Source organism: Homo sapiens, chromosome 5, assembly GCF_000001405.40.
Source record: "Homo sapiens chromosome 5, GRCh38.p14 Primary Assembly".
In the NCBI taxonomy this organism is placed as follows: Eukaryota; Metazoa; Chordata; class Mammalia; order Primates; family Hominidae; genus Homo; species Homo sapiens.
In genome coordinates, this window is record NC_000005.10 from 65,711,355 (window position 1) to 65,725,837 (window position 14,483).

A 14,483-nucleotide genomic window follows, 5' to 3' on the forward strand; every position below is an offset into this window, starting at 1 on the left:
GAAGGAAAAAAAAAAAAAGTAGTTCTAATATCTTCAGTATTAAGTCAATGGTGACAGTAGCTAAAGAGTGAGAAAATCTAAGAACTGTGTCAAGCACAGGCCTCACCTACCTGACAGCAAAGAAGGTCTGCTTTAGCCATAACCATATCTAGCCACTGAAACAGGGTTCCCTGAGGGGGCCACAGGCCCAGACAATGAAAGAACCACAGCCCACCATCACCAAAGGGAAGAAAAAGGGAGCTCCCTGATGAGGAACAGAGATAAACATCACTATCTCCTTATATCTTGTCATACAATAAGAATTCATCCGTTTGATGAATTAATGAATAACTGCATTATTTTTCTCCCAAGTGTAATAAAAGGGGATGATTTACTGCCAAGTTGCCATCTTCATTGCAACTCTAACAACCTCTTCCCAAGAAGTTCTAGAAACAGAGCCTGGAAGATCCAGTCAAGTGTGGTATTGTCAGCAATGTCCACTCCAGACTTAAGTGTGTAAGATATGTTTCAGCTTCACTCCAGAATTCTTCATTATATACTAAAGCTCAAGTACGGAGTTAGAAAAACAAAAGGAGCCCACGAGGCACCACAATGTCATAAAGAAACATGTGGGCCAGGTGTGGTGGTTCAAGGCTATAATCCGAGCACTTTTTGGAGGCCAAGGCAGGACGATGGTTTGAGCCCAGGAGTTCAAGACCAGCCTAGGCAACAAAACAAACAAAGACCCCGTCGCTACTAAAAAACAAAAACAAACAAACAAAAATTAACTGGGTGTAGTGGTGTGTGATTGTAGTCCCAGCTACTCACGAGTCTAAGGTGGGAGAATTGAGGACTGCTTGAGCCCAGGTGGCTGAGGCTGCAATGAGCCATGATCACACCACTAGACTGCAGGCTGGGTGACAGAGAGAGACCTGCCTCAGAAAAAAAGAAAAGAAAGAAACAAGTGGGAGTTCACCCACATGTGGGAGCCCTAAACTCCCTAAACTTAGCATTTTTCAGACAGTCTTATGGTCTGTTTCCTGAAAAGGCCAGAAACCCAAGACCATGTATAAATAGTCCCCAGGAGCAGGGATCAGAAAACTTGGATTTCAGTCTTAGTTTTGCACAGTGACCCTTAACCCTTCCCTGTTTTAAGGAGCCCCATCAATGGGCAAATTTGATGAATTCTGCTTCAGAAATGACGATTCAATTCCAGAGGAATCCATTTCTGCATGGCTGCTTCCTAGACATTAAAACTTTTTAAACCTGTATTCCACGTTTTAGGGAAACATCAATTCAGATGCTGGAAACCAAAAAATACTCAGATTCATTGAAATGACATTCAAGAAAAAAAATACTCAGATACTGTAAAGAACTTAAAAGTCGACTAATACATACCATTAAATATAAAAGGTGAGAGGATGAAAATAGTTATCAATATGAAAATCTAAAGCACATTAAATGAGTTATATTTTAGATACCCAATTATATCCATATAGACAGACTATTTACCTTATATACAGGATGAAGTTAATTACTCATATACCTGGCCCCTCAGCTATTAACAATCTATTAACATAAAATTGTAGTCATATCAGTTAATAATGAGAAAATAATGACAACATACCTTACAGAAGGAACTGGTAAACATTTCTGTCAAAGGCTGTGAAACTGCTAGGTGTGTATCTTCTGGGCTGATCTTAAAAACTGTCTCCAAGCACTGAATTGCAACTTGAAATAAATTTTAATAGTAAAAAACAATTAGCAATTTTAAAAAAGAAACAAGTTTTTTTTTTCTGATAGAACTGCAATGTATGGAAATTCAGTATTTATGATCACAGAACATAAGGAAAACATTGGTTCAGCTGCAAAGAAATTTCTGTTTATAGACTAGCTATCCAAGGAAAACACACTGATTTTCCTTCTTCCTTCCTCCCCCTCACACTCTCCCTTTCCCTTCTCCTTCCCCTTCCCTCCCTTTCTTTCTTTCTTCCCAATTTTTTTTTAGAGACAAGGTTTCACTTTGTGGCCAGGCTGGAGTGCAGTGGCACAATTATAGCTCACTGTTGCCTTGACTTCCTGGGCTCAAGGGATCCCCCTGCCTCAGCTCCCTTAGTAATTGAGACTATAGGCATGAGCCACATGCTAACTGTTTAAATTTTTTTGCAGAGACAGGGTCTTGCCAGGTTGCCCAGGCTGGTCTCAAACTCCTGGGCTCAAGTGATCCTCCTACCTCGGCCTCCCAAAGTGCTGGGATTATAGGCATGAGCCACCACACCTAGCAACAACTGGATTTCTTATTCCTCACTTAAGGAAAAATGTTGTCTAGAATATAATTTCTCAATATATGTATTACATCATATTCTTGTTGAAGGCTACCAGAAAGAGCAAGTCATTAATAACAACTTACTCAGCCAAGTGTGGTGGGTTACGCCTGTAATCCCAGCAGTTTGGGAGGCCAAGGAGAGTGGATTGCCTGAACTCAGGAGTTCAAGGCCAGCCTGGGTAACATGGCGAAACCCCATCTTTACCAAAAATACAAAAAATTGGCCAGGCGTGGTGGCGCACACCTATGGTCCCAGCTACTCAGGAGGCTGAGGTGGGAGGATTGCTTGAGCCTGGGAGGAGGAGGATAGCTTGAGCCTGGGAGGAGGAGGTTGCAGTGAGCCAAGATCTCACTACTGCACTCCAGTACGGGTTGAGACCCCATCTCGAAAAAACAAAAACAAAAACAAAACAAAAAAAGTACTCTCACTACAAACCTAAAATATTATTTTTTTAAAAAATGTGAGAAACAGAATTCTCCATTAATTAAAAACATTAATAGTAACAGAACATAGCCCCCAGCACATAGGAAGAAGCACTAAATATTAATCTTGGTGTACTTATGTGAAGATAGATTTTAAAAATTCATTCATCTATGCAAATTTGCCAAGTGCCTACTATCTGTAAGGCACTGGTCTAAGGTGGTAGAGAAACAGTAATAAACCTAACAGAAAAAAATCACTGTCTACATGATAAAGCTTATATTTTAATAAAGGAAGACAACAAATATAATAAGCAAAATATAAAGCATGTTAAATGCTGATAGGGGCCTTGTCTATTTTTATTGTATGGCAAAATAAGTGGTTGGTATGGCTAGGGTATACAGTGGGTGGAAAGACATGGTGAGGGATTATGTTTGAAGTCTGTCGTTGGAGGCCAGGTTCGGTGGCTCACGCCTATAATCCCAGCACTTTGGGAGGCTGAGGCAGGCAGATCACCTGAGGTCAGGAGTTCAAGACCAGCCTGGCCAACATGGTGAAACCCCATCTCCGCTAAAAAAGTAAAAATTAGCCAGATGTGATTGCATGCCCCTGTAATCCCAGCTACTCGGGAGGCTGAGGCATGGGAATTGCTTGAACCCAGGAGGCAGTGGTTGCAGTGAGCCGAGATCACCCCACTGCACTCTAGCCTGGGCGACAGAGCGAGACTCTGTCTTCAAAAACCAAAAGAAGTCTGTCATTAGATGACAAGGCACCTGAAATTGCATTTTTAAAAAGATTTAGACTTCAAGGAATGAGCAAATGGAGAACCATTAAAGAATTTAGTGAGGGAGAATAACGTAACTAAATTATGTTTAGAACTAAAAGTCTGGCAGGAACATTGAGAATGAATTAGAGAGAAAAGTTGGATTTGAGAAATTGATTGGGATTAGTGAAGTTGGGATTAGTGAACAAAGCTAACCACAGCCTTGGAACTCAGGCCTGTCTCGTTATCCTTATTAATCCAGGCTGAAAAAATTAAATAACCTGGGTACAATAATTTAACTTACATTTACCTCAAGATTCTCATTTATCAAACAGAGATTATTACATTTGATCTTCCTTTTAGAAGAATCTATTCCTATTTATTCCTAATGAAAATAATAGACATTCAGGAATAAGTCACAAAATCTAAACAAATACTATATATACTTATTGTTTCACTGTAACACCGAACAAAAATAGTCTGGTACTGATAGAGAAAGATGAGTGAAGAATTCTATTCAGTAATACCACATCCTATCTGTATAACACTTAATTCAAAAGTTTTCACATGCTATGTACCTGCCATTCGCTGATTCAGATTCTCTTCACAAATATATTGGCTGCAAGGAAGGCAAGTATCTCTACCAAATAGACTTAGAAACTAAGATCCAAACCAACTAAGGGAAATGCCCGAGACCATTGGATTCAATTCAACAAATATTTATTAAGCACCTACTATGTGTCAAGCACTTTTCTAGACACTTTTGACATATCAGTGAATAAAACAGAAAAGATCCCTAACCTCTTGGGATTTCCTTCCTAGTAGGAGATGGAGAGGTGGACCATAAACAATAAACAGGTAGTAAAGGGTAAGGAGGATGGAGAGTGTGGGCAGCTGAGCAGAAAAGCAGCTGCAGGGTTTTTGTTGTTGTTGTTGTTGTTTTTGAGACGGAGTCTCGCTCTATTGCCCAGGCTGGAGTGCAGTGGCGTAATCTTGGCTCACTGTAACCTGTGCCTCCCGAGTTTAAGCTATTCTCCTGCCTCAGCCTCCTGAGTAGCTGGGATTACAGACGTGTGCCACCACGCCTGGCTAATTTTTGTATTTTTAGTAGAGAGGGAGTTTCACCATGTTGGCCAGGCTGGTCTCAAATTCCCGACCTCAAGTGATCCGCCCGCCTCGGCCTCCCGAAGTACTGGGATTACAGGTGTGAGCCACCGCACCCGGCCCACAGCTGCAGGTTTAACAGAGAGTTCAGGGTAGGCCTTACTGAGAAAAGAGATTTGACAAAGACTTAAAGGAGACGGGGGTGTTAGCATTATCTGTGAAGACCATTCCAGGCAGAGGAACCAGCCAGAGCAAAAGCCCTTAGGCAAGAGGATATGGTACATTTATAAAGAGAAAGCTAATAATGGCTGAAGCCAAATGAGAAAGGGGAGGAGTAGGTGAACAATATGTCACAGAAGTCAAATTATATAGATCCTTTAAACAATGTTTTGAGTAGATAAATGATAGAAACTCACATACTCTGTTTGTAAAGATCACTGGTGCCTGTGTTTGGAACAGCCAATGGAGGGGCAAGAATAGAAGCAGAGAGACCAGTTAGAGGCTATCACACTAAAACAGTCAAGAAATAGTTCAGTCCAGAGGTGGTATAAGAGATGTCAAATCTAGACATATTTTGAAAGTGTAGCCAACAGGATTTATTGAATGATTAGTTACAGGGTATTTGAGAAAGAGAAGAGTCCAGAATGATACCCAAGTTTCTGGCCTGAGCAACAGAAAAGATGACGCTGACATAAACAGAGATTGGGAAATTGCATACAGAACAGATTTTGGGTGGGGGAATCAGAAGTTCGGTTTTGGCCATGTTAAATTTGGGATGCCTATTAGACATGCAAGTGGAGATATCTAGTAGGTACTTGGATATATAAGACCTTCAGAAGAAAGGTCTGGGCTGAGGGCATAAATTTGGGAAATAGCATATAAATAAGGGGTATTTAAGGCTAAGAAGCCGAATGATATCACCAAAGAAATGGGTATAGATAATGAAAAGAAGAGGATCAAGCAGTGGACCCTGGGTACACCAGGTCAGGGAAAAGAAGAGGAACCAGAAAAGGGGACAGAAAAGAAGCAAACAATGAGATAAGAAAGCCAAGAAAGTATGAGGTATCCTGGAAACTAAATAAAATATACTGGGGGTGGTGGGGGTCATTTCATGAGGAAATGACCATCAACATTATCAATGACAGCTAATAACTCAGATGAAAGCTGAGAACTGACCATTAAATTAAACAACACAGAAATCACTAATGTCCTTGATGAGAGTGGTATAGATTGAGAGATTGAGGCAAAGGCTTAATCAGAATGGGTTTAAGAAGAATAGAAGGAGAGGAGTTGGAGAAAGCAAGTATAGACCATTCTTTCAAATGGTTTTGCTGCAAAGGGAGACATACAATTAAGCAGTAATTATTTGCTGTTTGTTTTTGCTTTTTTGAAGAAGGGAGAATAATGGTAAGTTTATATGATGATGGAAATGATCCAGTAGGGTATGAAAATTTTATGATGTAAGATTAAAAAAATAAAATAACTAAAGTGATATCCTGGAGTAGGTGAGACAGGATGGGATCTAGTATACCAGTAGAGGGGTTCCATTTAGAAAGGAACATGAATAGTCCATCTATGGTAATAGCTAGTCAAACAGGCAGGCAGGCCGAGTATGTGGGTGCCATCATATCCAGCTATTTTCTTATTATTTCAGCTTTCTTGGTGGAGTAGAAAGCAAGGTAACCAACTAAAAGTGAGGACAGTGAAGGAGGTTTGAGGGTTTGAGAAGATATGAGAAAGTGTTAAAATGGTCATCTAGGAAAATAAATGTATGAATGAACTTAGAACAGATACTGTGATTGCCTGACAGCATTAAAGGTCTACTTGAAGTTCACAGTCATGAATTTAAAGTGGGACTAGTCAGCAAAGTTGTGTGTTTTGCTCCATTTATTTACGGCTACATGAGTGGGTGTGAGTAGTTGGGCACAAAGTAGGTGGAGAGTTGGATTTAAACAAAGTTGGGCTTTGCAAGAAAGGGAAGGAGATACAAGGGAATAATTATAATTATCAACCATGGAATTTAAGATGAGTAAGAAGAGGTGTGGGGAAAGGTGAGGCATGAACAGATTGGAGGTACTGGTTGGGTCAAAGAATAGCTGGAGTAGGGATTCTAGAGGGAGTAATCTTGGAAAGACAGGCAATAGTGGTCAGGAAGTGAAATGTTTGGGATAGAGATTAGGGAAGGAATGCAATTCTGGTAATGATTAAGTCTAGGGAAGGCTTTCTCAATCTCCGCATACTGACATTTTGGATCAGGTAATTTCTTCTTGTCAGGGGCTGTCCTGTGCATTAGCAGCATCCATGGCCTCTACCTACTCACTAGATGCCAATAATACCAGCCACCCGCCTCACCCAGTTGTGACAATCAGAATGTATCCAGATATTGCAAAATCACCCCCAAGTTGAGAACCACTGATCTAGAATATGATCAAGTGTTTGAGATCACTGGATGAGGTCAATAACTGAGAGCCAGGGAACTAAAATAATCATCAATCAGTATATTGCAATTGCCAAGAACTAAATAGGAGTAGTGCTAGAGAGAGTGACAGTGAGCAGGAACCACAATTAGTCAAGGAATGAAGCAAATGTCAGTAGATGACAATAATTAAGAGGAGTGGGTGACATAATCTGATGGCAAGACAAAGCTGATGATATACCAGCTTCACAGTAGTGGTAAAGCTGGTATTAGAACTGAGGCTTCTTTCCTAGGGCTTTTAAAAATGTCTAGAAGGTGGGCAGACACCTCCACATGATTTCATGTTCAATTAAATTAGACTCACAGAGTCAAAAATAGGGGTCAGTCAAAAACAATTGGCACCCTTTCTGACTGCCATATATAACAAACAGCTGAAGGCACATATTTTTGGCTGAATACCATCCTAAAAATAGGACATAACATCTTGGTTTGAAAAAAAAACCCTCAATTTTCTTTCTGGCCCTTAAAACTTTTATGCTGCTTTTGATTAGAAAAGAAACATCTTTTCTTAAATGACTGCATTTATCTGTTTGCTACAGAGCAATCATAACTAACATTCTCCTTAGATAACCAATCAACTTTATTTTCACATAGTCTAATCATCAAGGAGAACAAAAAGACCTTAATATTAAATGGACTGATTGCAATGTTCTCCAACTGTGCATCACCTGCTCCTCTCACTGCCACCTGGAAAGACATCAACTAACCAGACTGCAAGGAGGTTTAGAGCAAATGCCCAATTTTCATCTCCACCTCCTAAAAGCATATTCACAGGGAAATGCTTGTTGAAATTATAGAAGCAGTTTCAAGATGGGATTTATAACTATACTGTCATTTATTAAGTTCTTCCAAATGCACTCTCACTGCAATAATTAAGACTTTGGGGCTGGGAGGGGTGGCTCATGCCTGTAATCTCAGTACTTTGGGAGGCCAAGGCGAGTGGATCACTTGAGCCCAGGAGTTTGAGAACAGCCTGGGCAACATGGCGAAACTCTGTCTCTACAAAAAAAAATACAAAACTTAGCCGGGTGTGGTAGTGTACTCCTGTAGTCCCAGCTACTCAGGAGGCCGAGGTGGGAGGATCAATTGAGCCCAGGAGGTGGAGGTTGCAGTGAGCCGAGATTGTGCCACTACACTCCAGCCTGGGTGACAGAGCCAGACAGACCCTGTCTCAAAAAATAAATAAATAAATAAAAGACTTTAGGCCACAGGGACACCAGATTCACTGAACCTCCACAAGCCCATCTGCAGAATTCTACCTTGTTATGGTTGTACTGAATTTAAATTTTATAACACATAAACATGAAGAACAAAGACGGTGTCGAGGAAACACATGATGCTATCACCCACATCCTGTTCAACTTTACAGATTACCGAATCCAATATTAAAGTTAACGTAAAACACAGGTGAAATGCTCCCATTTCAAGTTCCAAATTAGGCACTGGTCAGATCTCACTAGTGGTATAATTATTAGACTTTTACATAGTGCTATTAAAATGACTCAGGTATTTTTATATATTATTTCTAAACTGGATGCTTTCCTATTAGGAAATGGAGACAACAAGATCTTCAGAGTATTAACCAGGATTTAAATCTCAGCTTTATCACATATCAGCTGTGTTATCTGCTTACGCTATTTGGTTTCATTTTCTTTTTCTTTTTTTTTTTTTTTTTTTGAGATAGGGTCTCGCTCATGGCCCAGGCTGGAGTGCAGTGGTGTGATCTCAGCTCACTGCAACCTCCACCTCCTGGGTTTAAGCCACCCTCCTATCTCAGCCTCCTGAGTAGCTGGGACTACAGGCAAGTGCCACCACACCTGGCTACTTTTTGTATTTTTAGTAGAGACAGGGTTTTGCCATGTTGCCCAGCCTGGTCTTGAACTCCTGACCTCAAATGACCTACCTGCCTCGGCCTCCCAAAGTGCTGGGATTACAGGCATGAGCCACCAAGCCTGGCCCTGGTTTTATTTTCTCACTTGTTAAATGGGGATAATACTAACATAACAGTTGCTGTGAAGAAAAAATTGCCTATAATATGAACAGCATACTTCTGACATATAGTATTTGTTCAATAAATGAACAATAGTCCTCTTAATTTGTTGTTAAAACAAACAAAACAAGCTTCAGAAAATGGAAATACGATAACCTTATAGTCAGGCCTCTCCTCTTGAAAGATCAAAAAAAATTCTGATTATGTTACAATAGATCATCAAGTTGGGCTTACAGCTATTTTAGTCTTCGTTTATAATTATAATATAAATGAACACAAAGAGCAGATGCATACCTTCCAAACTTTCTTGTTCATCCGAGGTGTAAGTGTCCATCTGACTTTGTTCCCGTAAGAAACGAATAACTGCATAAACCAGGTGCTTGATAGATGACATTTTAGAAGCTTAAACACTTTTCCTTGATAAGAAAAATGAAAACACTGAACTAAGTTATTTTAAAGAATCAGTCAGGAAAGTCATAAATTACAAAGATGATATGGGTTATAAAGTGTATTAAAGGTAAAAACAAAACACAAAACTGTATGACCTTTCATCTTTTCTCTTTGTAAAGAGTCAGGAGAGCACAAAGTATTGTGAAGGTAATTTATTACATATTTTCATTAATACCCAGTGGTATACGAGTATGTTAAATCTTGGAATAAGTAAAAATGTCTTCAAAACATGTACAGCATAAGCTTAGACTGTCACTGCATATCTCACCATACAGAAATCCCCTAAAGGCCTCAGTACTAAGTTAAGAGGCATTTCATACTGCTGACTAAAAGCTGATGTATACCAAGCATCTTCCTCTTTTTCATGGGATCTAAAAAAAGTATTAATAATGTACACTCTACCCACTTTTGTAGGTTGAGAGTTATTTGATGAGGAAACACATTCGCGAAAGGTTATTCAAGTGGTGAGTGTCGTTCTTAATAAAAATGGCATTTCTATTTAATCAGCAGACATGTCAGGAAATCGCTGCCCAAGTCGATGGATACTACAAGCCGACCGGCGCTCCCTGCAGAGGCTGTGCTCTCGTGGACAAGCTGGAAGCTCCCGGTCATGTTCATTCACATGGAATACTATCGCATCCAAACAGTGGCGCAGGGCCAGGCGGCATTCATGGCTGATTTCCACCAAATCGCATCATCCATCTGCTCCCCAGGTTCCCTAATTCAAAGCCAGGGTGTGGTACCCGCCGCTATAATGTTTATTATTTGTGTAGTTATTTTAAAGGCGATGTCAGCCTCTAGGCCACGGGGTCATAAGCACTAAATAAGGCCCCAGGGCAGAAGGTAAAAACAGAATGGGGGGAAAAGGGGTGAGAAGAGGGAAATAGGCTTCTCCCCCTTCCTCTCCCCAGAGCGCATCGAGCTCCCCCTCCCTTCCGTCCTCCCTCAGGTACCCGGCCTCGCCTCGGCCCTGCCCGGTGTGCAGCGGGTGCCGGTGCGGGCCCCGGTCCGGAGCGGCGGGAGGCGCACCCTTGCCAGACAGAAGCCCCTTACCAAGCAGGAGGACGCGAGACGACTGCTGCTGGCCCGCGGGGTTCCGTAGGCAGGCCCGCCCGACCCCTGGTCCTCGGGGCTGGAGCCCGGCTCGGGATCGCAGCACTGGTCGCGGCGGCGCAAACTTCCCCGGCCCCTAGGCCGTAGACCCCAGAACCCACCAGGCTGTGCTCTCTCTCAGGCGGCAGGGTCTGGCCAGCACCGCCCCTGGGGCGGGGCCGGACGCGAGGGCTGGGGCGGGGCCAGACACGCGAGCTGGGGCGGGGCACGGCGCGGGGCGGGGCTGGTAGGCGCCGGCGTGGAGCTGCCGCACGTGGGAGGGCGCTGGCCAGGCAGCCACTGTGGCCTCTGCGGCTAGGCCGGCTCGAGACTCCCGGGCGCCCAGGCGCTGCCGCCCGCCTCGCCGCCCCACGCCGAAGGACCACGCGCCCGCCGCCGCCAGCCTCTCAGCGCTCCCATGATCGCCCGGTGCCTTTTGGCTGTGCGAAGCCTCCGCAGGTACCTCCAGCGCGCGGGTTAACCTTGGCCGTGGGCAGGGCGGGGTCTTTCGCCGTGTGGTGCCTGGAGCCCGGACCCACCCCTTCCCGACCGCGCCTCTCCGACGCTCCCGGGACGCACCCTCCCCGCGGCTTGCAAGGTGGACCCCTGGGGGACACCTGGCGCGGCCACCTGGGGCCACCTTTCCCGCCTCCGCTCCCTCGGGAGGACGTCCATTCCTCTTTGTTTGGGACTGCCTCAGCCGCAGTCAGCGAGGCTGGTCACAGACGCGGCCCAAAATGAATGCAAATAGTTTGGATAAGAAAATCATTTCACGTTCAATCCCAATGCAGAACTACAGACCTGTCATTAAAAGTGCCGCAGCTGTGGACTCAGAACAATTGTGTTTGCTCCTCGCGCCCATTATTAGCATTCCAATCGTTTAACATCCACCCGAGATGAAACCTCTTTGGTGGTGTTGCTTGTTTCCGTCCATGCTCTCTGACTTCCTTTTTTATTTTCCTCCTCCCCATAAAACAAACATTCTGCCTCTTGCCGGTGCAAATTGACTTGGCCCAAAATGGAGAAAATGATCGCTTGGACACGGCTTTGGGCAGCCTGAGCTGCTGTTTTGGATTGCTTCCTAGCCCTCTAACCACACCCCACTGCAACAGACCAGTAGCAAGATGGTGAGGGAATTAAATTCTTTGCACGGATGCGCTGGTTTTCGGAAACAATGCCGCCACCATCCCCGTTTCCAAATCTGCCCAGAACTGTAAATCCAAATGAAGATTCAACAGAATAAAGAAAATGTGTGCTTCTTGCTAGCTATCAACAAAACTACTTTGTAACATGTCAGCATTTAAGCTTTCTACAGTTCCCTTTTGCACATTGCCACTCGTCTGTGTGGATGGAGCTTTGTGTTGCTCAGTCCGTAGAGTTAGGGAGCAGGCAGGCGACAGTGGTTAATTACAAAGAGTTAATGTGGTGATTGGTGACCATATTTCAGCCTGTCGTTTTTTGCTAGTCTCCAGGCTGCAATCGATATAGCTGTCAAATGAAGTTATACCAAGAAATGAAGACTTCACATAATGCAGGGGTGAGAGGAGGGAATAAATCTTCATATAAGAGCAATTCTCGGCCGGGCGCTGTGGCTCATGCCTGTAATCCCAGCACTTTGGGAGGCCGAGGCGGGTGGATCACGAGGTCAGGAGATCGAGACCATCCTGGCTAACACGGTGAAACCCCGTCTCTACTAAAAAATACAAAAAATTAGCCGGGCGTGGTGGCGGGCGCCTGTAGTCCCAGCTACTCGGGAGGCTGAGGCAGGAGAATGGCATGAACCCGGGAGGCGAAGCTTGCAGTGAGCCGAGATCGCACCACTGTACTCTAGCCTGGGCGACAGAGCAAGACTCCGTCTCAAAAAAAAAAAAAAAAAAAAAAGAACAATTCTCAAACTTTTTATTCTCAGGACCCCTTTACCTTTCAAAAATTACCGTGGACCTAAGAGCTTCTGTTTGTGTGGTATATCTGTCTATATTTACCATATTAGACATTAAAGCTGGAAAAAAATTAAAGTAGTTGTTAATTTACAAAACTAATAAATAGGCTAGGTGCATAAATAGTGATTTTAATGAAAAATAACTATTTTCCAAACCAACCCCCCCGCCCCCCAATCAGTGAGAAGATTAACATTGTGGGGTTTTTTCCCTTTTTTTTAAAATTGTGGTAAGATATAACAAAATTTACCATTTTGATAATTTTTAAGTGTACAATTGAGAGGTACAGCCAACACCACTGTCCATCTCCAGAACTTGTCATCATCCCAAACTGAAACCCTGTACCTATTACACAATAACTGCCCATTACTTCCTCCCCCAATCCCTGGTTAACCATTATTTTTTCTCTATGAATTTGAGTATTTCAGGTCCCTTATATAAGTGGAATTAGACAATATTTGTCCTTTTGCGTCTGGTTTATTTAGTATAGCGTTTTTAAGGTTTATTCGTTTTGAAGCATGTGTCGGGATTTCCTTTTTAAAACTGAATAATATTTCATTGTATGTATATACCACATTTTGTTTATCCATTTGTCAGTGGACATTTGGGTTGCTTCCACCTTTTGGCTATTGTGAATACTACTACTATGATCATTAATGTGCACATGTCTGTTTGAATCCCTGCTTTTAATTCTTTGGGATACTGTATGTACCTAGAAGTGAAAATTGCTGAGTCATAGGATAGTACTATGTTTAGTTTTTGAAACCATACTGTTTTCTTCAGTGGCTGTACCATTTTTACATTCCCATTGGCAGTACCTAAGGATTCCAATTTCTCCACATCATCATCAGCACTTATTTCCTGGTTTTGATAACAGTTATCCTAGGAGTGGCATTGTTTCTTTTTTTTTTCTTTTTTTTTTTTTTTGAGACAGAGTCTCTCTCTGTCGCCCAGGCTGGAATGCAGTGGCGCTATCTCGGCTCACTGCAAGCGCCGCCTCCCGGGTTCACGCCATTCCCCTGCCTCAGCCTCCCAAGTAGCTGGGACTACAGGCGCCCGCAACCACGCCCGGCTAATTTTTTTTTTTTATTTTTAGTAGAGACGGGGTTTCATCCTGTTAGCCAGGATGGTCTCGATCTCCTGACCTCGTGATCCGCCTGTCTCGGCCTCCCAAAGTGCTGGGATTACAGGCGTGAGCCACTGCGCCCGGCAGAAGTGGCACTGTTTCGCATTTTTGCAAAACTAATGTGTGACATAATAGAAGGTAACTGGATTCTTATGTCTGCCTCTGCATTTAAGCTGCTGCACTGTTTCATTTTGGTTTAAGATGAAGAAAATCCCACCTCACAGTCATATGAAGTTGGAAAGAAGAATATTTTAATAGCTTTTTAAAGATAATCATGGATGTTCTTTGATATCACATCAAAGTTTGACAAATCGTAGCTTTTTAAAGGTTAGTTACAAAGTGGAATTTGAAACTATATCAATGTACTTGTTTTACACTGTTACATTAATATCCAATGGTGTACCTTACACTTTGAATGGATGTTGAATCCATGCCTGTTTTTTAAAACATTAAGCATAAGTCCTTCGGAAATTTTAGTGGTTCACTGTGTTATACAGTTCTTCCTAATGTTGACATATTTCATTATACAGTATCAAACAATCACTTTCCTTAATGTCTTCCTATTTAGTCGGAAAAGTCTTCAAGTATTGGGAAGCTGTCAAGCTCACAGTGGCAGATAGGATTTTCCAAAATTCTAGTTTTCACTTGAAAGCTAGAATTTTATCATTGGTAACACAAACTGTCAGTTGTTTTACTTGAAGTGACAATCTCACTTTGTTACATTTTTGACAGAATTTCTGCCACATACTTAAGTCTGAATAACCCTGGTTTGTCTGTCAGTAGTTTTTTTCTGGTAAAAATGGTGTTCCATGGGCTGGG

General features: G+C 42.6%; 2 protein-coding genes across 6 annotated transcripts in view, besides 6 other annotated features; one reads left to right on the forward strand and one right to left on the reverse strand.

Moving 5' to 3' along the window:
• SGTB (small glutamine rich tetratricopeptide repeat co-chaperone beta) overlaps window positions 1-11,659 on the reverse strand; it is a 57,086-nt gene extending 45,427 nt beyond the window's left edge. Inside the window, exons 1-3 of one of the 3 annotated variants that reach the window (XM_005248548.4) lie at window positions 11,403-11,659; window positions 9,354-9,475; window positions 1,607-1,710 (exon numbers count right to left, since the gene is read on the reverse strand). In XM_005248548.4, coding sequence (XP_005248605.1) covers window positions 1,607-1,710; window positions 9,354-9,453 — 204 coding nt within the window. In that variant the 5' untranslated portion in view covers window positions 9,454-9,475; window positions 11,403-11,659. Of the gene's footprint in view, window positions 1-1,606; window positions 1,711-9,353; window positions 9,476-10,562; window positions 10,756-11,402 lie in introns of those variants that run through there. The other 2 variants (NM_019072.3, XM_047417334.1) reach the window with 2 other exon arrangements.
• Window positions 8,085-8,281: a silencer, noted in NCBI's record as "fragment chr5:65015266-65015462 (GRCh37/hg19 assembly coordinates)". NCBI's record gives its function as "represses an EF-1alpha promoter that drives an FKBP-Casp9 reporter gene in an ReSE screen in K562 erythroleukemia cells {active_cell/tissue: K562}" and the evidence as "EXISTENCE:reporter gene assay evidence [ECO:0000049][PMID:32094911]".
• Window positions 10,326-10,375: a silencer, noted in NCBI's record as "silent region_16056". NCBI's record gives its function as "represses an Ori minimal core promoter by ATAC-STARR-seq in GM12878 lymphoblastoid cells {active_cell/tissue: GM12878}" and the evidence as "EXISTENCE:reporter gene assay evidence [ECO:0000049][PMID:35858748]".
• Window positions 10,436-10,485: a silencer, noted in NCBI's record as "silent region_16057". NCBI's record gives its function as "represses an Ori minimal core promoter by ATAC-STARR-seq in GM12878 lymphoblastoid cells {active_cell/tissue: GM12878}" and the evidence as "EXISTENCE:reporter gene assay evidence [ECO:0000049][PMID:35858748]".
• Window positions 10,556-11,165: a silencer, noted in NCBI's record as "silent region_16058". NCBI's record gives its function as "represses an Ori minimal core promoter by ATAC-STARR-seq in GM12878 lymphoblastoid cells {active_cell/tissue: GM12878}" and the evidence as "EXISTENCE:reporter gene assay evidence [ECO:0000049][PMID:35858748]".
• NLN (neurolysin) overlaps window positions 10,851-14,483 on the forward strand; it is a 107,079-nt gene continuing 103,446 nt past the window's right edge. For all 3 annotated transcript variants that reach the window (NM_020726.5, XM_005248559.4, XM_047417445.1), the window contains exon 1: window positions 10,851-11,060. In NM_020726.5, coding sequence (NP_065777.1) covers window positions 11,020-11,060 — 41 coding nt within the window. In that variant the 5' untranslated portion in view covers window positions 10,851-11,019. The remainder of the gene's footprint in view (window positions 11,061-14,483) is intronic.
• Window positions 11,442-12,263: an enhancer, noted in NCBI's record as "NANOG-H3K27ac-H3K4me1 hESC enhancer chr5:65018623-65019444 (GRCh37/hg19 assembly coordinates)". NCBI's record gives its function as "activates a minimal SCP1, AML or CMV promoter by ChIP-STARR-seq in naive and primed H9 embryonic stem cells {active_cell/tissue: H9 hESC(naive and primed)}" and the evidence as "EXISTENCE:reporter gene assay evidence [ECO:0000049][PMID:30033119]".
• Window positions 12,036-12,115: an enhancer, noted in NCBI's record as "active region_22610". NCBI's record gives its function as "activates an Ori minimal core promoter by ATAC-STARR-seq in GM12878 lymphoblastoid cells {active_cell/tissue: GM12878}" and the evidence as "EXISTENCE:reporter gene assay evidence [ECO:0000049][PMID:35858748]".